At 41.9% G+C, this 24,009-nt stretch overlaps 1 protein-coding gene across 42 annotated transcripts in view, besides 2 other annotated features; it reads left to right on the top strand.

Moving 5' to 3' along the window:
* The window catches only part of TNC (tenascin C), a 98,583-nt gene that overhangs the window by 65,696 nt on the left and 8,878 nt on the right, over window positions 1-24,009 (top strand). For 20 of the 42 annotated variants that reach the window (NM_001439090.1, XM_011518626.4, XM_017014681.3 and 17 more), the window contains 10 exons: window positions 3,930-4,202; window positions 5,780-6,052; window positions 10,121-10,243; window positions 11,378-11,521; window positions 14,082-14,201; window positions 16,221-16,364; window positions 17,128-17,258; window positions 20,777-20,909; window positions 22,057-22,208; window positions 23,006-23,102. In NM_001439090.1, the coding sequence (NP_001426019.1) occupies window positions 3,930-4,202; window positions 5,780-6,052; window positions 10,121-10,243; window positions 11,378-11,521; window positions 14,082-14,201; window positions 16,221-16,364; window positions 17,128-17,258; window positions 20,777-20,909; window positions 22,057-22,208; window positions 23,006-23,102 (1,590 nt within the window). The remainder of the gene's footprint in view (window positions 1-3,929; window positions 4,203-5,779; window positions 6,053-10,120; window positions 10,244-11,377; window positions 11,522-14,081; window positions 14,202-16,220; window positions 16,365-17,127; window positions 17,259-20,776; window positions 20,910-22,056; window positions 22,209-23,005; window positions 23,103-24,009) is intronic. The other 22 variants (NM_001439099.1, NM_001439098.1, NM_001439097.1 and 19 more) reach the window with 2 other exon arrangements.
* Window positions 8,970-9,029: an enhancer, noted in NCBI's record as "active region_28882". NCBI's record gives its function as "activates an Ori minimal core promoter by ATAC-STARR-seq in GM12878 lymphoblastoid cells {active_cell/tissue: GM12878}" and the evidence as "EXISTENCE:reporter gene assay evidence [ECO:0000049][PMID:35858748]".
* Window positions 15,877-17,076: an enhancer, noted in NCBI's record as "CDK7 strongly-dependent group 2 enhancer chr9:117797665-117798864 (GRCh37/hg19 assembly coordinates)". NCBI's record gives its function as "activates an origin of replication core promoter dependent on BRD2, BRD4, P300/CBP, MED14 and CDK7 cofactors, with strong dependence on CDK7, by STARR-seq in HCT116 cells {active_cell/tissue: HCT116}" and the evidence as "EXISTENCE:reporter gene assay evidence [ECO:0000049][PMID:35650434]".

Below are 24,009 nucleotides of genomic sequence, written 5' to 3'. Positions count from 1 at the left end.
TTTAAAATCTACTCTTTTAGGAATTTTGAAGTATTCAATATGTTATTATTAACTATGGCCAGTCACCATGCTGTGCAGTAGATCACTAAAACTTATTCCTTCTGTCTAACTGAACTTTGTACTCCTTGACCAACATCTCCCCTTTCTTCATCTCCCCAACCCCAGTCACCGGTAACCACCAGTCTTCTCTGTGCTTCTATGTGTTCAGCTTTCTTAGATTACACAAATGAGATCACGCAGTATTTGTCTTTCTGTGCCTCGATTATTTCACTCTGTACAATGTCTTCTGGGTTCATCCGTGTTGTTGAAAATGACAGAATTTTCCTCTTTTTTAAGGCTATAAAGTATTCCATTATATATATATGTGTATATATATATATATGTATATATACACACATATGGAATGTATATATTTATATATAAATATGATCTATCTATACACCACATTTTCTTTATCCATTCATCCATTGACAGACACAGGTTACAATACATTACTCATGATAGCCAAGATAATATATGTAAACTTCTAAGTAAAGAGAAAGCAGATACTATTATAAAGGAGAGGACTTTCACAGCTGCTCTTAGGAAGTGGAGAGAACGTTCTCAAGAGTTGTATAAAGCTTTTAGGGTTTTTTGTGCCCAGTTTTATTGGCTGTTTTATCCCTAGTTTAGAGATTCTGCCTAAAAAGTGACTCCTAAGTTAGTAAAGGCCTAAGATCGAAATCCTGTTCATAAATCATGCTAGGTAACGCAGTTCATATATGTGACAAAAGTATAACCATCTTTTTCTTTAAAAAATAATTATTCTTAAAACTGACAACACAGATGCAGCTAGATGCAGCTAATTTGAAATTCCTGTCTCCTTTTTTTCTTTTGATTAAAAAAAAAATGCATTTACCAGTACTGTCAGAAAAAAAAAAAAAAGAAAAAAAAGAAAAAAGAAAAATCACCTAGAAAAGAGACGCTGAACCTTCTCCACTAATCCTCCTTATCCCTCAGGATTGCCATCACTGATTGGGGTTGGCTTTGGGTATGGAAAGAACGTAGAACTTGGAGTCGGAAGACCTGGTTGTATATCTCAGCTTAGGCACCTAGCAGATGTATGACCTAGGATAAGTCATTAACTTCTCTGGTTTTTTTAGATGTGATCGGGGTTGGAAGATTGATGAAGGTTCAACCTCAGATGGCAGATAAATTTCAAGTTTAATTAAGCCCTACCCATTCACTCAACTTGACTTCTTGAACATTTGCCAATGTTCAATTTGGCAAATGCTGCCAAATGGTGGCAGCAAAAACTTCAATGGCAAAGGCTGCACATGGTGTCAGTTTACTAAATTCTAGCCCAAAAAGCCTCAGAAAATATTTAGAAGTCTCTTCCTTTTCATTAGTGATAATTTTCAGAAGACGGACTTTGCCATCTGATTTTCACATTAAACCAGGTCTCTCCCAGGGTCTAAATTGCCATCACTAAGACATGTCAATTAGTACAATTAAATATTTAATTATAGGCAGCATGGTGTCCTGGAAGAGTGAGGATTTTGAGATCAAGCTTTTGTGGTTTCTAAACCTCTCCCACAGCTTTTTAGCTACATAATTTTAGCAAGTTCTTAACTTGTTTGAACCCTAATTTCCTTATGCATGGAGAGAGGATACCACAGGCACTTCTGGGAGCCTTGTCTCATAGATTAAATAGAGTTGGTGAAATTTAACTGCCTAGCATCCAGTAGGAATTTTATACATGCTAGGTTCTTTCTGCTGTCTCCCAACATTATTAGGAAAGTGGCTTTCTTAAAAATAACCAATAAGGCTAGATAGAACAATAGACCTATGCAATCATGAACTCCCTCTCGTTTTTAAGAGAACTTTGGATGTGTTTTAATGTAAGATTAAAAAATGAGTATTTTTTCCTATCCAGTTACCTAATGTGAATTAAATCATTCAGATGAGTCTTCAAATGCAGAACATGGTAATTTCTTAAGGGACTGAGACAAGGAGGAACGAGATGAGATTCTCACTCCTCAGGAGGGGAGAAATGGCCACAGATCCCATCAGGCCATTGCTTGTAGCGGCTTGCAGGACCTCCCACATAACAGAAGAAAAGGAAGCTGAGAGACCCAGTCTTGGGAATCCTAGATCCAGTTACAGCATTGTCTCAGCTAATCCATGATGTGAAAAGATTGCGTTTTAAAAGAAGCATATTAAAAAAGAAAAAAACAAAACAGGAGGGACTCTTAAATAACAAGCCCTTGATTGCCTAATTAGCCTGAATGCCCTCACTTTCATTGGAATTCACTGCTTTGATGGTGTGGAGGTGCAAAGAGGCCAGCTATCAAAGAGAGATGCCACTTATCTAAACAAAATCCAGGAACAGAATTCGAGACCCTTGTCTCTCAGATGAAGATTGTTTGCCCAGTATAAGAGATTTCATCCTCGCTTTTGATAGAATTATGATTCTTGGGAAATCTTTACGTGGAAAAAACTGCCTCAGAATAAACACCAAGTGTTTCAAAATAACTACAGGAAGTCCAAGCCACAGCAAAATTTAAATCTCTATTTACAAAATGAAGGTATTCATTCCCTTATTCATTCAGTCACCAAACACTTCTTTTTAAAACATTTTTCTTTATGTCTCATGGATTAGACCCTAGGCATTAGTGAATTAATGCAAGAGCATTTATCTCTTTGTAAGTTTCCATTTAGCTGTAATGGAAAAGAAGTGTCTAAACTAGATGCAGCTAATTTGAAATTCCTGTCTCCTTTTTTTCTTCTGATTAAAAAAAAAAATGCATTTACCAGTACTGTCAGAAAAAAAAAAAGAAAAAAGAAAAAACACCTAGAAAAGAGACGCTGAACCTTCTCCACTAATCCTCCTTATCCCTCAGGATTGCCATCACTGATTGGGGTTGGCTTTGGGTATGGAAAGAACATAGAACTTGGAGTCGGAAGACCTGATTGTATCTCAGCTTAGGCACCTAGCAGATGTATGACCTAGGATAAGTCATTAACCTCTCTGGTTTTTTTAGATGTGATCGGGGTTGGAAGGCAGGTAGCAATATCTACCTTACTGTATCATTTTGAAGACTAACTAGGATAACAATGTGAAGCCTTGTCAGTTGGCAAGTATCAATGGAAACTTAGCCAACATAAGCTCACTCCTTTTGGATATCCCAATGTGTGAAAAGGCCCTTTAGCACCTGAGAAATCAGAATGCCTGGGACATACATGTTTGGTGAACGAATGAAGGAGAGATGGTGACAGAATTTACTAAGACCCAGATGTGTTCTTGTTTTCTAACTTTATCCAGGAAAATAAACAGCAAAAGATTTAGCAAATCTTATCATTTCTTAGTGGGTTATAACCATGAGCTATTAATTTTGACACAAAAAAAACTTACCTCCTCCCTTTATTTCAGCTTGTGAGGATATCTCACTAATTGACTTCATTAATTTGATTCAAACTGTGCACTAGAAGTGGGATAGAAACACATGAAGTATACCGGAAAGAAATTATACTCGAAAAAAAAAAAAAGAGCTGAAGGCAGTGGGAAGTAGACAACGGGATCCAAACTCAACAAAATGCAACCTATTTGTATAAAGAACTACATGGCCTTTGGAGTCAAACCTGACTAAAATCTTCGCTCTATCTCTTCTTACAAGCTTGTAACTTTAGCTAAGTCAATCAACTTCTTTGAAACTCAGTTTGCTCACGTGTGAAATTAGAATAATACCTACCTCATGGGCTATTAAGAGAATTGCACAAGATAACACTATCTGGCACCCAATAAGTTCTTACTGAATTTTCATTTTCTAAGCATATAACACAAATTGAATGATGGACTTGGGTATCTATTGGTGTTCTTGGAAACGTGTGCTATCCTGACAGAGTCAGTGCTGCTAACCTGAGTTATTTTCACTCCTCCCTTCTTTCAGAGGCCCTGCCCCTTCTGGAAAACCTAACCATTTCCGACATTAATCCCTACGGGTTCACAGTTTCCTGGATGGCATCGGAGAATGCCTTTGACAGCTTTCTAGTAACGGTGGTGGATTCTGGGAAGCTGCTGGACCCCCAGGAATTCACACTTTCAGGAACCCAGAGGAAGCTGGAGCTTAGAGGCCTCATAACTGGCATTGGCTATGAGGTTATGGTCTCTGGCTTCACCCAAGGGCATCAAACCAAGCCCTTGAGGGCTGAGATTGTTACAGGTATTTCAAATCAAGTGAGCCATTTGTTCCTCTTCCTGGTCCCCTTCTGTGTAATCTGTCTACCGGATCGCCATGACTTTAACATCTTTGTTCACATTCCCTACTTAATCCATAAATGTAGTCTACTGTTTCACCTTCTCCCCACACTCCCTCTTGTCATATGTACTTAATGAACACTCCCCACTCCCACCCCAGAAATGAGAAGGTCGAAATATTTCTGCTTTGTATTCAAAATCCTTTAGACCTTGTCTTGTCCATAGCTCTTGTGTGCTTACCTCATATCATCGTCCCTTGTGATCAACCTGGCTGGTCCCCAGCTACATTTCAGCCTTCTCAAAAGAAATATACCAATGAGTATATTTCCAAAACGTATTTAAAACTTTTGCCATCTCAAAATCTCAACCATGATCTTAACAAACTTACCCAGTGGGCTCGTCATTGGAAAACCAAATGTGAACTTATTTTATCGGTAATCACTAATATCAGAGAGACTCTGCAACACGGACTAAATCCATAATTTTCTCAAGACTAATGATTCCTACAGAAATTAACAACGGAATAGTCAAACATCTGTGTTTCCCAAAGTCTTTCTAGAGATTACTAGCTCCACAGAATGTTCAAAGGTCCTACTCGGTGAGGAAATTCCACGTTCAAATAAGTTTGGAAAGACTGAGTTAAACAAAGTTAAAGAGGATCTTTAACTGCACGGCTTTTCAGAACACCCTAACGTGCATCATCTCCAAGAAGTACTTATCCAGGCAGTATTTTCCAAACTTATTTGACAAAGGATACTTTTTAAGGAAGAGGATCAAACAGGAATAGTTCACTGTGAGCACACTTTGGGAAACTCAGCTCTAAATCTACATTGACATTGAGTTTTGTCTAGTTAAGGCAATGCAAGATGAAACCCTGGGTCCACAGTATGTAGCACAAAAGGTTCCAACCTCAGTTCTACCATCTGAACATTTATCTAATAGTTAATAAAATAACAAGAAAGAATGCAAAAAAAAAAAAAAAAAGTCAAGGGTAGGAGCCTTCTTTAGTGAAACAGCACTAAGAACAAAGCAAAAAGACCATAACATTTTAAAAGCCATTTTGGGCAGGCTCAAGGAGAATGTAATCAGCAGTATCATCATGAGCAGCTCTACAGATCATTAATGCTGGTTTATTTGTCTTTTCAAAAAGAAAAGAAAAAGGTCTTGCAGGGGATGGGCACTCAGCCACTGGAAGACAGAGAGCAAATGTAAACAATTTACTGGCTTTGAACTTATTTAATAATATGTGGGACGGGCCAATGCTGAGTCCAGATGTGGATTTACTGAATTGCTTTTAGACAAAACTCACATATGCAAACATATGCTTGACTTGTATTGAATGTGTCTACTCCATCTTTCCCCTCTCCTGACTCTACTGGACTTGTTAATGTTGAATGATTTTATTTTTGGTATCTCAGGACACTTCTATCTCTGAAAGCCGGGGCATCACTACATATTGATACCCCTACTGGAGAGAAGATTGCACGGACTGGTAAATGATGTTGTCTTTCCTCCTTCTCCCACCATTTTCTCTCCCTCTAGAAGCCGAACCGGAAGTTGACAACCTTCTGGTTTCAGATGCCACCCCAGACGGTTTCCGTCTGTCCTGGACAGCTGATGAAGGGGTCTTCGACAATTTTGTTCTCAAAATCAGAGATACCAAAAAGCAGTCTGAGCCACTGGAAATAACCCTACTTGCCCCCGAACGTACCAGGGACATAACAGGTCTCAGAGAGGCTACTGAATACGAAATTGAACTCTATGGAATAAGCAAAGGAAGGCGATCCCAGACAGTCAGTGCTATAGCAACAACAGGTACTGTAAATAAACAGGAGAGAACAGAGAAAAGTCATGACTCAGGGGTCTTCTTCTCACAGGGCTGAGTAATCACAGGAGCTTTGGATGCAGGCAGGCTGGCGCTCTGATCCTGACTCTTTCAATTACAGACTGTGTTACCTTGGACAATTTGGCTAAGTCCTTATGCAAAAAAAGTATGATGCCATTTACTTAATAGGGTTGTGAGGATTAAATGAGATAATTCATATAAAGCCCATAGCGGAAGGCCTGGCAGGTAGCAAGGGCCCAGCAAATGAGAGCTATTCACGTTGCCATTAATGCATCATCATCGTTACAATTATCATCTTTTTTTTTTTACGTTCCAAAGATTCTTCCTTCTATCTATTATCTCATCATATCTCATCTCATCATATCATATCTCATCATTTTATCCAGAGATACACTTCCTTGTTCTTTGGCCAAATGTTCGAGCTATACCAAGTAGGGAGATAATGGAGAAGCAGCACGTCTATCTATACACATTAATATTTATAAAATGCTACATGTGAATAATCAGTACGGTGATCAGCAAGGATAAAGGAGAGAGCTGGCAAGATTAACATGCTACTGTTTATGAAGCTCTCTAACTTTGATACTCATAACAACTCTGAAAGGCACCTAGAGTGTCCTTGGAGTTTAATTACCTTTTTCCATAGGAGCTGTTTCAAGGAGAAAAAAAAAAAAGATGGTTAATAATATGACTCTTAGGCCCAGAGTGATGGCTCACACCTGTAATCCCAGCATTTCAGGAGGCTGAGACAGGAGGATCACTTGAGTCCAGGAGTTTGAGACCAGCCTAGGCAACATAGTAAGACCCTACCTGTGCAAAAAAAAAAAAAAAAAAAAATCAAAAACTTAGCCAGGTGTGGTGCCTCATGCCCGTAGTACCAGCTACTCTGCAGGCTGAGGCAGGAAGATCTCTTGAGCCCAGGAGGTTAAGGCTGTGGTGAGCTGTGTTCGTGCCACTGCATTCCCACCTGGACGACAGAGCAAGACTCTGTCTCAAATAATGATAATAATAACAGTAGTAATAATATGACTCTTTGTAATAATAATAATACTAAGATGAACATGACTTTTTAAAGAGAAAAGGAAAAACCTCCAACAAGTCAAGTAAATTATTTCATGAAACTGAGGGAGATGCAGAGACATAGCATTCGCTGGAGATGGCTGCTTCAAAGGGAACCAGGGGACAGAACCACAAAATCACCAGGAGAGATAAAAGGGACCTGAGAGATGATGTAGCTCAACCTCTTCTGTTTGTGCATGAAGACTCTGAGGACCAGAATGGTGAAATGATTTTTCTATGATCATAGAGCTAGATTTGGAGTAAAGCCCAATGACCAGCTTATTCTAATACTATTTAAAATGAGCAGTCTGGATGAGAGAAAACCAATGCATATAGCTACTTGCCATCTCTGACAGGCATAGGCATGACATTTGCCAAAACCTCTCCTTTTTGTCTAAAGATAGATATTTTATATTGTTAAGTTTTCAGGACCTAATAAGTGGCAAGAAATCACCCATGTAAAAATAATAATCAGTATTTGTAGGCTTGGAGAAAATGCTAGAATCCAGGCAGCAACCTAGTAAGAGGGAAAAACCCTGTTTCTTATTAACAGGGACACCCTATCCTGGGATGCAGGTCTCAGTCTCCTCCTCCCTGTGGCTGCCCATAAAACGACTCCAGATCAGAGGCAGAGCCTTGATTTTGATCTTGGTTTATAAACAGTGTTCTTCGAAGTTTACTTCTTCTGATCATTGATTTGTTTTGCTGATCTTTTTTTTCTAGAAGCCCTGCAGTTCTAAAGCAAAAAAGAGAATGAATAATCATGAATTGAATTTTTTTTAAGAACAACAAAAAAAAAAGGCAAGGCAGACCCTGCTCTTTTGGAAAGCCCTCTCTTTGATTTTCTTCTCTAGAGCCTAGTAGCTTATAGCCAAAGAGAGGTGCCCATGCGCGTGCGTGCTTGTGTGTGTGTGTGTGTGTGTGTGTGTGTGTGTCTACATGCCTGTGCTCCAGGACCAGGAGAAGACAGGAAAGGGGGCTCTTGAGCACAGAAGATGCCTAATTTCTATCTTCACCTCATCAAGTTTATAAATTTCCCCTTTTGTTTTTTTTTTTTAATCCTTTCTCCTCTCCTCTCTTCCTCCCTCATACCATTGTAAACTCTTCTCTGTAATGTCCTATCCCTCTTCCTCCTGAGAAGGCCCTGCTGTAGCTCCTCCTCTCACTCACAAGGTACCTCTCCATAGCACAAGCTGCCAGCCCTGGGTGCCCAGGGCAGTAGAAAGGGCAGTGGGAGACAGTGTTGCCTGGTGGTTAAGCCAACAACCATGGGACAGTGTCCTTGGAGTTTCATCATGGCTCTACCTCAATTCCTTCATCTGGAAAATAGAATTTAACTCAAAGGTCAGCCACGAGGTTTACATAAGATCATGAATGTCAAGTATTTAGCAGAATTTCTTTACCCACAGTAACCATATTAGCTATTAATGTGTTTGGCCATAAGATACACCTACTAAAATGTACCTACACCAATGAGGTTTTCAGTCAAAGCAATAGTGCGAGTACACCAGGTTGGCAGAGGGAAGTCCTCAGTGCCTGAGTTTATACACCTCACTGTTTTTTGTTTGTTTGTTTGTTTGTTTTTTCCCAGTTAGACTCATCTCGATCTTTCCTAGGGGACACCTTAAAGTCTAGTATGGCCCATGGAGGAAAGAGGGACATTGGAAAGAAAATAAAGAGAGGGCAATCATATTTACTGAATTCTCACTGCATGCCAGATGCTGTGCTGGGAGTTTCACATTTGTTATCTCTGCTAATCCTCAAAACATCCCTGTGGGTGGGTACCACTTTTCCCTCTGGACAGATGGAGAAACTGAGGTTCACAGAAGTGAAGGGACCTGCCCAAGGTCACCCAGCCTCTCAGTGGTATTTGGACAATGAAGCTCTTTCAGGCTCCAGAGACCCATGTGGTTTCTGAAACTTTCCATGGGCAGGGCAAAAACCCAGGCAGCCACAGAGTCTGGGGGTGGCTACCAGGCCACAGAAGAAAGCTGTAGGAGGAGATGTCTTAGATGAGAGAAAAATGCAGAAAGAGGAAGAAAAAAAAACCCTTGCTGAATTTCTGTGGGTTTCAGCATGTAATAATCCCTGTGGGTTGGAGAGGGGAAAAGATGAGGAAGTGAGTTCCCTAGAGCCTGAAAATTGTTTCCTGAATTCTCTGGGTAGGCATGGTTAGCTGAAGAGGGCAAAAATCGCAGCCAAAAAATACACAGAGAAAAGCCAAAGGAAACTGGGTTTTGAGGGGAGGTATTTTGGGAGGCAGAAACTCCCCCTGGGCATGGCTTTTCTCACAGGTAGACCCAGCGTCCACTGGGTGTTTGCTTTGGTGATGAGCCTGAGGTTGTTCTCTTGGCTTTGGACCTCCTTCCAGTTCTAGGAATGGGTTTGCCCAGGTCAGTGTTTGTGTGAACGTTATTTCCAGGATTCCAGGCTGTGCTTGGCTCTGCTGCCTACTCCTGGGACCCAGAAAGATCACATCACAAGAATGTTCATGGAAGCCTTGGTTTGGTTCTCTGTAAAATGGCTATAATCACATCTTTTTGGGGGCTTCTACAGGAGGATTAAGCCTTATAAATTGCAAAGAACTGTACAGTTGTCAAGTCTTAGTATTATTTAATAAAAGGAACTAGAAAGCAAAGATTTAAGAAAATGTTAAAAATCAAAAATGAACGGGGGTCACATTCCAATCTGGGAAACCATTCTCCCACGATTCCTTGGAAGTCAGCTATGGTCCTATCACTCCCCTTGAATTAGACCAAATGACTTTTCTACAACCCTGGGCCCTGTACCTGAAATGAAACAATTGGTCCTAGCAAGTCACAACTTAACCACAGATCACCACATTCTCCATCCTAAAGGCTTGGCTCAGACACAAATTCTAGGCACTGAGTTTTCCTAAATAAGGAATTCAGGAAGAACCATTGATGAACAAGACAGTTAACTGTTTCTGGGCTTCTCTTGTGCTTTCTTCTTGACAGCCATGGGCTCCCCAAAGGAAGTCATTTTCTCAGACATCACTGAAAATTCGGCTACTGTCAGCTGGAGGGCACCCACAGCCCAAGTGGAGAGCTTCCGGATTACCTATGTGCCCATTACAGGAGGTAGGAGACTCGGAAAGGGGAGAGAGAGGAGGAGTGTTGTGGGTTTGGATGGATTCATGAAAAAGACCCTGATAATTTTCATCCTCTAACATCATGATCAAAGAAAATGAATTCTTTATTTGTGAGACCATCTGGAGAGAAGAGAACTCATTTGTAAAGTGCTATGAGGTTCTTAGAAGAAACTTTCTTGTGAAGGGTCACTTGAACAAGACCTTTTTTAACCTTGAAATTATAAAATTCTATGAGAAATAGATCTCTAGTATTGTTTGCACACAATGGCAAAAGATTCTAAATATATTGGCATTTCTCTCCCTGCGCACACTCATCTGAAAAGCTAGTCTTGGATATATGTGAAGTTTTACCTTTGGGTACCAAATCTGTCTGTCTCAGCAAATGATGGCAAGCTGTGCCTTAGAAAATTTGTGAGTTCTAACTCAAAGCGCATGGGCTATAATAGAGACCACAAGGAGGAAGCCCAGTCAAATCTGCCTAAAGACACTCTGGCAGGTAGTAAGCTACCTGTTGCTGAAAGTGTATAAAGAGAGGATGGTTAATAACCTCTTCACAGGAATGCTGTTTTGTCTCTATAGGAAGTCTGACCAGCTGATGTGCAAGTTCTTCACTAGCCCCCAAATTCTAAGAAATACAATTTCTGTGTTTATTAATAAACACTGCAGCACAAACTTGACTATAATCAACTTTCTTTTCTTAAGTAGAATTTCCTCTAGTAAGGGAGTCTATAATCCTAAGCCAAGACAATGGGTGCAATAGATCTGACATACATTACATAGTAAGCTTCCCATATTGTTTGTGGGGAAAAATAATAAGATAAAATTTGCACAACGTGCCAGCTCTCTACTGAACGGAAACTTGCCATTTTTAGTACGTTGTGACTTCATGTTTTCCCCCGCCCCTCCTGGCTTTGTTTTTGGCATCTGCACCAATAGAAAAAGCATACAAAAAGTAAGCCTTCTTCCCTTATGCCAGAGGGTAGGAGCAAATGAGAAGTCAAGAAAGTGGTGTTTGATGAAGATATAGTTTCATTTCTAAATCAGATACACTCTTTTTGGGGGCAACAGTGAATAAGTGTCAGTGAGGTTCATTATTCCTCATCTTGCTTTTACTGTGTTCCAGGTACACCCTCCATGGTAACTGTGGACGGAACCAAGACTCAGACCAGGCTGGTGAAACTCATACCTGGCGTGGAGTACCTTGTCAGCATCATCGCCATGAAGGGCTTTGAGGAAAGTGAACCTGTCTCAGGGTCATTCACCACAGGTGAGTTGGTGGGGTTGTGTGTGTGTGTGTGTGTTACTATTTTTCAGAGGTCACTTGTGCATCCTATGCCATTTCTCACCTTCAGCCTTGTAGCTCATGACTCAGCAGCTGGAAAAAAAGGGGGGTTTTATTTATGAGATCCTAGTGGAAAGTGAACTGGATTTAGAGTGCCAGAGGCCTCTCTTCTGGCCCATCCCAGCCTCTGGTGAGCTGGGTGACCTTAACCTTGTTGGGCCTCCATTTCCTGGACTATTGTGAAAGAAAAAGTCCAAGTTTGGGAGTCATACTTACCTGAATTTAAATCCAAATTCTACCAACTACATGAGCTATCAGTCCATTTTACTAGGGTCCACTTTCCTTCTCTGTAAAACAGACACAATTCTGCTTCCCTCACAGGGTATGGTAAGGATCACATGAAGCTGTGTTTGTAAAGCATCCTGAAATACAATTGTTCATGTTAGCCCACCATCACCTTCACCTCCCCGCCTATTGCCTGGAACCCTTGTGAGTGTCCCTCAAAGCAGGTGTTTCACATGAGCATGTGATGGTGACAGCTACAAAACAGCTCCTCTCTATTTGGTGGCTCTTGCATTCCAGGCACTGTTACTAAACCCTTCACATTTAATCCCCACAGCTATTATCATCCCCATTTTACAGAGGAGACAACTGAGACAAATGAAATACCTTGGCCAAGCCCACATAATTAGTAAATGCTGGAACCAAATTTGAACATAGGTCGGTCTGACTCCAAACTCTCTATCCTTCTAAAATAAAGAGTTCCTTTCCTAGTGTAACCTGATTTGTACAGTACACTGTAAAGAGGGGAAAATAATGAATTGCATTGAAGGAGAATGAAGTGGAAAATTTCTCTTCAGACAGCCATGTCTCAAAACAATTTATCCTTTGATATGTGAGCAATTATCCAGTCCAACTCATTAAGGGATACAAAGAATAGACCTCATAGGAAATTTTAAAAATATCCTCATAGCCTGAAAGAGTTGACAACACACAATTAAAATATCCCATCTGAACCCAGAGTCCCGTCCACCCTGCCTCACAGGCCCTTATTTCCCCAAAGAAATCTTTCATCAGTGGATTCTCCACGGCAACAGATGGCAAAAGCTGAACGTAGTTCCTCCCAATGCCCCATTGTCATCACCAGTTAAAGGAGATTCTGTCCATGCACAGTGAAGCAGGAAGGAACTCAGAGTGGACAATGTGGGCTCCCCAGTTGCCCTGCCACATCCTGGCTCTCAGACCAGTCATTTCATCCCTCAAGGCTCAGGTGCCTCTCTGTGAAATGAGCTGAGGATAGCTTCCCTCCACCCTCGCCAGGGCTGCTGGCATGGGCACAATTGAGTAGTAAGTGCAAAAGCAAGAGGAAATGGTCAGATTCATGCTGGCTTCTGAGAAAGTGATGTTGGGTAGTAGGAGAGGTCAGTTAAAAGAGGCCAGGGATAAATATCCTTTGAATATCCATCCTTTCTCAGAACAAGTCATTTGAAAACCATACTTAAGACTTCAAATACCTTTAATAGAGATCTTAATAACAACTGCAAGTATTGAGAGCTTTCCCTAGTACATCTTACACATCACACATTGCTTAGCTAGTCTTTATTAACTAAACAGTCACCCTTTGGCAGCTGAAGAAAGTGAAGTTTGGAGAAGGGAAATGAATTTTCCCAGGGCACAGAGGCACCAGGCAGAGAAGCCATGGTAGAACCCGGGACCACCGGCCTCCAGAGCCTGGCTTTATGTTCTCTGCAAGCCATCTAAGGAGAAATACCACTCAAAGCTCAGAAAAGGCTCGGGGCCAGGTGCGGTGACTCACGCCTGTAATCCCAGCACTTTGGGAGGCCAAGGAAGGTGGATCACCTGAGGTCAGGTGTTCAAGACCAGCCTAGCCAACATGGTGAAAAAACCCATCTCTACTGAAAATACAAAAGTTAGCTGGGCTTGGTGGTGCACACCTGCAATCCCAGCTACTTGGGAGGCTGAGGCAGGATCATTGCTTGAACCCGGGAGGCAGAGGTTGCAGTGAGCCGAGATCGTGCCACTGCACTCCAGCATGGGCGACAGAGTGACAGTCTGTCTCAAAAAAAAGAAAAGAAAAAAGCAAAGAAAAGAAAAGAGAAAAGAAAAGAAAAGGCTCGGGCAGTCTTAACTATGCAAGTCCCCTCTGTGTAAGTTCTTTCTCTGGGGAAAGTAATATAAACAATAATAATTCTTGTCATGTGTTCAGCCTTGTTCAGTTTACACAGCTCCTTTCCACCCATAATATAATGGAAAAATCAAAATAACACTGAAGATGAAACCAGCCAGAATTACTATCCCTATTTTACACATGAGGATATAGAGGCCCAAAGTAACTGAGCCAGCAAGGGAGGGAGTCATTACTCAAAGCCAGGTCAGGCTGGCTCCAGGCTTAGGTCTCTGAACCATTCCATGCAGCTGACACTGTCCTAACATCAGGACTCCATAAGCAGTGTGGACAGCAGAGCAGCTAGAGTCTGATGTCCCACCCAATGACTTCCCTCCTGTCCACCATCTTTCTTTGCAGCTCTGGATGGCCCATCTGGCCTGGTGACAGCCAACATCACTGACTCAGAAGCCTTGGCCAGGTGGCAGCCAGCCATTGCCACTGTGGACAGTTATGTCATCTCCTACACAGGCGAGAAAGGTAAGGTTTTGTCCAAGTCTCTCCTCACTCTAAGGAGTGTCTTTCCTGCTGTAAACTCTTCCCATTCGCTCTTCTCCCTGCCACATTTGGTACAGGATGATAAAAATGCATGGGTAGGTTGAAAAGGCCAGTAATGTTCATGTGGCTCCCAACTGAAACCTCAAGGGAGTCTGGTAGGTCATTTAAAATAAAAATAAAAATACATCTCCAGCCTCTACATGTTTTCCTGGCCCATTCCTCCTCTCCTGTTAGTATCTCTGCCTACCAGTGTGAGACACCCCGTTTAGGAAACAGTTGTCATCTTTTACAAAGAAGAAAACCAGAATCTAAAATCTTAACCAGACCGCTTCAGGCCATACTGAGCAGTCTCAACTTTTCAGAGACCACAAAAGAAGCTAGTTTTAGCAGATTTAATTAAAAAGTCTGAAATTTTAAGCCAGGTACAGTGGCTTACATCTGTAATCCAGCACTTTGGGAGGCCAGGGCAGGTGGATCACTTGAGACCAGGAGTTTGAGACCAGCCTGGCCAACATGGTGAAACCTCGTCTCTTCTAAAAATACAAAAATTAGCTGGGCATAGTGGTGCATGCCTGTAGTCCCAGCTACTCGGCAGGCTGAGGCAGGAGAGCTGCTTGAACCTGGGAGGCGGAGGCTGCAGTGAGCCGAGATCGCACCACTGCACTCCAGCCTGGGTGAGAGAGGGAGGCTCTGTCTCAAAAAAATAAAAATAAAAAATAAATAAATAAATAAAACAGAAATGTTTTCTTGTTTGGCAACCATCAGTGCTAATGTACCCAGTTGACAGATTAAACACTTGTTTAGAGCACCAGCAAACTACAGCTGCCAGAAAGTAAAATCAAATATAAGTAAGAGACTGGAGAAAGAGAGAGTGCTTTTCAATGAACCCCTCCATTTTGTAATGAGCTACTCTAGAAATAATTGTGTAATTTCAATTTCCAGGTATAGGTAAGTTTCATATTTTATGGTTTGGTATTGTTTTGCTCTCAGTGACAATATGAGCAGGCACCAGCGTCTGTGCCTGGAGCCTCTGAAAATTTTCATTCAGTTATGGTAACCAACTAAGAGAGGTCTTTTTGAGGACAGAGCACAGGTAGGGGTGGGGAACTGATGGGGAGGAGGGATGTTGGGTTTATTCTTTTTACTCTTTAATTCTTAAATAGTCCCTGTGAGCAAACTCTTCTGAGTCAGGAAAGATGGTGTTGCACCTAAAATGAATCAGGTATAGTTCATGGGAACCATGGAGATTGTAGATTCAGGGCAAACAAGGGGCTTGGTTCAGAAGAGGGGGTGGTGCTCACAAATGATGAGGTAAGTTGACCAACTTGTCCCCGCTTGCCTGGTACTGTCTCAGTTTTAGCACCAGAAGTTCCACACCTAGGAAATCCCGCAGTCCCTGGCAAACCAGGATGGTTGGTCACCTGTGAATAGGAAATAAACACATGCCCCCAAGCAATGTGATCAGTATTGCTTTCCACCACTGGACATGACCCAGCAGGCCTGAGAGATAGTGGCCAGGCTCTGGTGCAGCTACTGCTGTCCAGTTTTTGTGACCCCTCAGCCTAATGACTTGATGACACTTAGTAAATTATAAAAGGGCATGTGAAAAAGTGACAAAGAGAGGAGAGCATGCATCAGGACAAATTAAGCATGGGCAGCAGGCTTGGGGATGTCCCCTCCGACCGTCCTCTACCTCGGTCTCAGTGGCAAAGCGATTCCAGCCAGTACCATGTGGGAAAAAAATCTCCTGACCCCCAGTTCCCCTTCCTTCTGATTTGGGGCCTGGAAAAATTAAGTCTCCATATGAGAAATCCTTTACGTATGAGGTGAGTGCTCAAGAGAGAGAAAGAGAGCGTGAGTCATTTCAGAAATCAGACCTGCTTTTCCGCAGGGTCACTGAAAGTTTCGATGTTCGAAGGAGGTGTGTATGTGGTTTGCCAAGCCCACTCATGGCTCAGACAGTGAGAGGTGACTGCCTTGGTATGTGTATTTCATGTTTAGTGCCAGAAATTACACGCACGGTGTCCGGGAACACAGTGGAGTATGCTCTGACCGACCTCGAGCCTGCCACGGAATACACACTGAGAATCTTTGCAGAGAAAGGGCCCCAGAAGAGCTCAACCATCACTGCCAAGTTCACAACAGGTACAAAGACACTGAGAGCTGGAAGCTCTCCCTTCTGGGGTGCCCACCCACAGCCTGCATCTTAAACAGGAACCGCTAGCCAGTTCTTCTTTCTTAAGTCAGGGCCTTGCAATGTGATTACATCAGCATCACTTAAATTCACCAGTGCCCACTCAGTCAAGGCCTGAAGAAACACACTATTTCCTTTTGAACTGAAATGACCTTGGTCTCCCCACGGGGAAGGAAAAGATTTTAAGAGGAGGGCTTTGTAAGTGGAAAAACAGTTCCCACTGGCCCTAAACCTAGTATTTAATGATCCACGTTCCAGGCAGGAAAATATTTTTGAAGAGGCATATTTTTTAGGCAATTTTTCCTAGATGTTTGTTAGGTTTCTATACATTGAGAGCTTTTTACAAACTATAGCAAGCAGGGAAACAGAGGAACCATCCTCTCTGTCAGGGTGAGTATTGATATTAGCATTCATCCATCCTCTTACTTAGAAACAAGGGGCTTGATAATGATGTTCACAGCTGTATACTTCTCTCTAAATCCAACCAAGGCCAGTTAGAAACATCCAGCCCTTAGGATGAGATAAACCATAGAGAATTTGTCTTTGGAGATCATCTGGCTCAACCACCTTATTTATACAGAGGAAGTTCTTGCCAAAGGTCACGTAGTTCAGTGGTAGGGAAAGGACTTGAACCCAGTCTTCTTGATACCCAGCCCGAATTTCTGCCCTACATTTGCTGATCTTATCCGATATTAATCATCCTGTCTTCTCCAGACCTCGATTCTCCAAGAGACTTGACTGCTACTGAGGTTCAGTCGGAAACTGCCCTCCTTACCTGGCGACCCCCCCGGGCATCAGTCACCGGTTACCTGCTGGTCTATGAATCAGTGGATGGCACAGTCAAGGTATTTTAAGTATATAACAACTCCTCAATGCTAGTTGAAGCATTTGCATGATCTTCAAAGTATGGAAGAATTACCTGATGCTGTTTTTCTACCCCAGTGCATCTGGGGAGCTGAAAAAAAAAATTAGTAGAGACTGGATGGCATGCCAGACCTTCTGAATCATACTCTCCAGCCTCTTTCATTTTAACCAGACTCCAGTTCTGATAGGCAGCCAAGATCAAGAACCACTGCTTACAAGACTTGAGGACATTTTAGGAGCTGGAATCTTGATCCTTTAATATTTTGTTGAACAAAGGCCAAAAGGTTTCTCTGCATGTTTGCCATATGTATTATCTCACAGATGGTATCTTTATATTATATATTGTAATATGTTTCACCGTGTTCTTATGATATCAACTGTTAATACCATTTTTATCCAGTGTTTATATTATTTATATTCGCTACCCAAGAATTTTCTTTCTTTTACCTTTTAATTTGAAATAACTTTAGATCTTCAAACAAGCGAAGGAGATTTCCTAAACTTTACCTTCCAAACTTGTTATTGAATTTTTCATTTTGGTTATCTCACTTTATATTTCCAAGATCTTTTGCTTGTTCTCCACACATTGATCTTTTTCTGGCATTTTGTTTGTGCTTCCTATATCATCATCTCTTTATCTCTAAGAATATGTTGCTGGTATTTTATTCTATATCCTGCACAGTGTTTGTTACAAGTTTCTTTGTTTTGCTGCTGTTGTTGAGTTTGGTTTGGTTTGGGTTTCTGTCTTTCATGTTGGAGACATCCACCCAATGTCTGTTGATCATGGTCTGTCTTTTTGTATTTGAACTAGGAATGAAAGAGCTAATAGGGAGTTAGCTCAGGCAGGGCTTGTCAACTTTGTGGCTCCCTGCAGAATGATTGGGCAAGTACCCACAGTTTTCTTGGGGGACCCCCAAATAACAGTGCCATAAAACCTGGCCTCTCACTGTGTACAAACTTTCATCTTATTATGTTTCCAGTGTAGCACCTCGGCCTCCTTGAAGGCTGAGCCTGGTGGATTTGAATCCGGACTTCCTCTCTGGCTCAACCTTTCCAGAGAGTAAACCTCAGCCTACCATCTGAATGGGAAAGGGCAGTCATTTAGACTGTTGGAGGGAATGAGGAGATCTTAGAGTCTGTTTCTTACAAAAAAGCTTCTAAACAAACCAAACCTTTGTTCAACCACACTCCACATTGGCCTTTAAAGACATCTCTGCTTTTGTACACATTCCTTTACTGAACTTGCTGGACTCTGTGACTTGCACCAAGCAGCCTCTGACTAGCTCTGCCCATGCTCCTTAGTTAACCTCAGCCTTCTTCATTCATTCCCCTCCATGGTCTCTCTACCACTCACTTTCTATCTACCAAGTTTCTGGCACACCTGTTGCTGTCTCCTCTCCCATTCCCCTCATCTTCATGGATTTATACCTTACATTCTCTTGCTCTCTTTTTAGTGGGTTTTAGAAGCAAGTAGAGATGAGTGGCTGTATCCAATCTGTCATATTTAACCAGAACTGGACACATTGCTAATAACTATCATGCCCCTTCCTGGAATTGATATAACAATGAACTATCTCACTGTGTGAGCTGAAGCAAATCCTTTATCTTCTCTGGGTGTCAGTGTTCCCATCTGTAAAATGAATGCCTTGGACTTATCCATCTTTAAGGTCTTCTCCTTGTCAGGCATTCTAGGATTCTGTGTTTACCTGAATCATGAGTCTCATTTTGATCTAGAGTACCCTAATTGCCTAGAAAATGGCTTTGCACAGAAGCCTAGAGAACTGACAGGTAATTGTATTCCTAAGTAATTCAATGAACCCAGCTTTATCCCTGACAGTTGATCTTTCCCCCAGGGACTAGAACTGGGGGGCTGCAAAAAGGCCTCTGGGTATTAAATGAGCACTCATCCCAGTTTACTTTTCTGCATGTCCATTCACCAGCTTTACATGTCTTAGAAAAAAAATCAACCTGGTATAGGAGAAAAGAGTCCTGGACAGGGTGTTGGGAAACCCGCATGCAAGATCATCCTCTGCCTCCAACAATTTATGGAATGAGAGCAAGTCTTTTAGCTTCTCTGAAACTCAATTCTCCCATTGAAGAAAACAGGATAAGGTACCTTCCCAGTTCCCAGGATGCAGGAGAACCTTCCAGGGGCTTCTGCACTGATGCATGACTGCCCAAACTAAGCTGGCTGTTTGCAGGTTGTAGAGAAGATCGTTGTGCTTGGTTTACTAGGAGTGTAGGTTGAATTCCAATCCCAGACACTAAGGTCATTTGCTGAAAAGAATTGGAAGCTAGCAAGAGGGTGTGGAAAGAGGATTTCCTGCAAACTGAAACCAATGACCTCCTCTGTACAGCAGCACAGAGACCAGCCACAGACTACAAGTGTAGTTAGAGTTGGTCAACATCTGTCTGTCATGGATATCTCTGTTCTAGAAGAGAGACATGTGAGGTCAGCTTAAGTTTTAATCCTACCATGCCTATGGGGCTATTATAATCATCTCCTAACTCAAGAGATCCCCAAACTGACTGCACATTCAAATCACTTGGGAAGTTTCTTAAATATAGCCAGGCCCAACTTCTGGCTCTGATGATTCCATCAGTCTGAGATGAGGCCCAGGCATCATATTGTTTTAAAGCTTCTGAGAGTGATAAAGAGCTATATTTAGGGACCACTGACCTAACTGACCTCAAAGTCCCTTACCCTGTGTGATTCATCTTGCTACCAGATTAAGCTTCTTAAAGCACAGCTTGGTTTATGTCATTGGCATGTCCAAACATCTTTCAAGGCTCCCCATTTCTTGTGATGATAAACTTCAAGTTCCAAAGCTTAGCATTTATACCTTACAGGGCTCCTCACTCCGTTTAATGATAAACTTTAAGTTTCAAAGCTTGTCATTTAAAGGCCCTTCATAATCTAGTAACATTTTCCACTGTTCTAACACCTGAAGCTAAGTATGGTTGAGGTCGCTTATTGCCTCCTTATATTATTTCATTTTATGTTTTAAATCTGCTTTATTCAAAGTTTACTGATTTAAATATTAATCTCATCCAAAAAAAAACCCCCTTCACAGAAACATAGAATAATATTTGACCAAATATCTGGGCCCCATGGCTCAGCCAATTTAACACATAAAATTAACCATTACAATCCCATTCTCCCAATATAGTTTGGCAGGGCCTTGGGCAGGTGGTAGCCTTAGCCCTGGAGTCTACAGCAGTGCTCTCATCCTTACCAGATGCGGTCTCTCCCTCCTTATATTATTTTAACTTGCTCTGCACCTTCTGGCCCAAGGACCTTTGCTTGTGCTGTACTCTCCCCATCTCTGATATCTCAGCAGTGCACATGGAGCCTGGTAGAGAGTGGGTACTCAATGAATTCTTGTCCAGTAAGTAAGTGAATGGATGGGTAAATGAACTTATAAATAGAATGACTTCTTATCTATACCCTGAGAATTTCTGTGACCAAAAGCCATTATACTTTTTCTTCTGCTCTTAGGAAGTCATTGTGGGTCCAGATACCACCTCCTACAGCCTGGCAGACCTGAGCCCATCCACCCACTACACAGCCAAGATCCAGGCACTCAATGGGCCCCTGAGGAGCAATATGATCCAGACCATCTTCACCACAAGTAAGGAGGCCCAGGGTGCCATCCAGCCTTGAGATCTAACTTTGACTGAATCAACCCTTGACTTCCCCTTTGACTTCTACTTTAAAATTTTCAAACAAACCTCTGAAAAGAATCGATTCACTGCTACTACTTGGAAGCCTGAGGAAAGCAAATGTGGGAGATTATGAGCATCCCGGTGAAAGGAAAGGAGGAAGCCCATCTGGATTCAGTCCCCATTTCTATCACCTGCTAGGTGTGCCTTAAGAATGCTACTTCCATCCTATAATCTTTAGCTTCTTCGTCTATACAGGGAGATTAATAATAAATCCTCTGTCACCAGGACCTTGCAAGTGTTCATGAGGTATTGCATTTGAACTCCTAGCCCAGTATGTGGCCCATATAATTGTGTGGTCCTTTTATTGTCAGAGTTCAACATGAGCTGAAAGTCTCTTTCTTTCTCCTTCATCATGCCAGTGTTTACAAAACCTGTCCACATTCAAAATCACAAATGATCTTCCCACCAAGCTGGTATGGTGAGCCCTATGCCCAAAGTTCTAGTGGGGAAGCAGACACTTTCAGAGACTAAATGACCTGTTCAAGACTATCTTGTGAGTTACAGTCAGAGTTGGGCTCAGATATTCCATGCCCAGGGAGCCTCCCCCTGCACCTGTCACAAAGTATCTTCTGCAGATAGCAAACCTGCAAGTTGTTCCATTGATAAGTAAGAGTGGCATCCATTCCTGAGGACCAGAGGAGCTGGCCTTTGGAGAGCCCTGCCTTTGAAAATTCACGGGACAGTCATTCTGCACACATCTGCTGAAGAAAGTGCTTCCCCTTTGCCAGATCTTATGCCAGATGCTAACTATGAATGTATCCTAAAGATGCTCTTATACTAGGGCTGTGAAATAAATAAGAAAACAGCTCATGATACAACCTCAGATGAATGTCCTCAGATCAGAAAAAAGAACTGCTATGATCATCAGCTCTAAGACCCATCTACTAGGCATAGTTCCAAGATTGCCCATTTCTATGAGTTTTTAATTGTTTGCATCACATTATTGCACCTGGAAATTCCCCAGGCATTCTAGTCCATAGAGTTAAGCTAAGAATTAAGCTCCAGCTCAGTCCTCCTGCACTGAGAGCATCACCATTTCTCCTTATTCCACAGTTGGACTCCTGTACCCCTTCCCCAAGGACTGCTCCCAAGCAATGCTGAATGGAGACACGACCTCTGGCCTCTACACCATTTATCTGAATGGTGATAAGGCTGAGGCGCTGGAAGTCTTCTGTGACATGACCTCTGATGGGGGTGGATGGATTGTGAGTACCACCAGGGACTGCAGAGCCCTCAGGCCTAGGGGAAGAGGGAGAGGGCAAAGCAGGGGAGGAGAAGAGGGTGATCTCCTCCTGATGCACTCTGACACCCCCATGTGTGAGGCCTTGCAAGATAGTGCCTGTCACACAGAGGCACTCAGGAATTCTCTCTTAAACAAAAGAATGGGAAACACGCTGGCTACTTTTTGAAACGGGGAGATAAGTTTCTTGTAGTTTATCTCATCCAATCCTCATCAAACAACTCTGTGATGTATAAATGACAGTTGATCATTGAACCCATTGCTTACATTAATTAGCACTGACTAAGCATTTATTATCTACCAGGCACTGTGCTAAGAGTTTAAGATGAATTATTCCGACCCCATTACCATAGGAGCTGGGTAGTGTATTTTTGAATTAATAAACTCTATTTTTTTAGAACAGTTTTAGGTTCATGGCACAATTAAGTGAACAGAAGTTTTCATATACACCCCACACCCACCCACACAACCTCCCCATTATCAATATCCTGCACCAGAATGGTGCATTTGTTACAATCAATGAACCTACATTGACACATCATTATCACCCAAAACTGGGTGGTATTTTTAATCCCTGTTTTTCAGGTGAGAACACCAAGACTTAAGGAGGGGCAGGTGACCACCCAAAGTTACATAGCAAATTAGGGATGGACAGAATGGAGCCTGATGCTCTCTCCACAGTGCCACACTCCTTCCTCTCACAACGATGCCCTCTTTCCTGCAATAGCTTAAGTACACCCAGATTCATCGATATGTTTATAGGTGTTCCTGAGACGCAAAAACGGACGCGAGAACTTCTACCAAAACTGGAAGGCATATGCTGCTGGATTTGGGGACCGCAGAGAAGAATTCTGGCTTGGTAATGCAGCCCTGCATGTTTATATCTAAAATGCCTGATTCTGCCCTCCTTGTCACTTTTCCTAACCCACAGGGACCTATGGGAGAGAAAGAGATGAGGAAGAAGAACTACTTCTGGTGGCAGACACAGAATGTCAAATTCTTAATGAAAAAGACTATCATTTAAATGCTCTGAATCATCAAAATGTAAACCAAAAAGTATCTGAGACAGATCTCAATCAATTTAGAGGTTTACTTAGCCAACGTTAAGGACACGCCCAGAAAAAAAGAACACAAAGCCACAGGAACAGCCTGTGGTCCATGCCTTTTTTTTTTTTTTTTTTTTCCAGAGATAATATTAAGAGTTTTAGTGTTTAAAGGGGGAAAGCCACAGGAACAACCTGTGGTCCATGACTTTCTTTTTTTTTTTTTTTTTTTTTTTTTTTTTTTTTTTTTTCAGAGATAATGTTGAGAGCTTTAGTATTTAAAGGGGAAAAGTGGGCTGGAGGGATATGGTCACATTACTGAATCCACATGTTGCAAGATAAAAAAAAGAAAAAAGCAGAATGACAAAAAAGAGAATGGTCAATTTTGTATTCATCTCACACTCAGTAAATCGGCACTTTACATAAGATAAAGTGAAGATAGAATAACTATCTGTGGAGATATCTGGCCTTTTATCTGTAGCATCTGCTTAGGGACAAAAGGAGAGGCAGTTTCTCCCATGACTCGGCTTTCAGTTTATTTTTTTTCCTATTGGCAGAGTTAAATTGGGGTCCCAAGATTTTATTTTCCTTTCACAAAAAGTAAAATCTGATTAAGGAAGAACCAAAACTCAGCCCTTATGTGTTAACCTAGCCTTAAGTCATTCTCTGGACCAGTCATAGAATCCTCCTCACTGATATCATTGATATCTTCCCTCCTGTGCC

The sequence above is a fragment of the Homo sapiens genome, chromosome 9 (assembly GCF_000001405.40).
Source record: "Homo sapiens chromosome 9, GRCh38.p14 Primary Assembly".
Taxonomy (NCBI): domain Eukaryota; kingdom Metazoa; phylum Chordata; class Mammalia; order Primates; family Hominidae; genus Homo; species Homo sapiens.
This window is presented reverse-complemented; position numbering and strand designations above follow the sequence as displayed.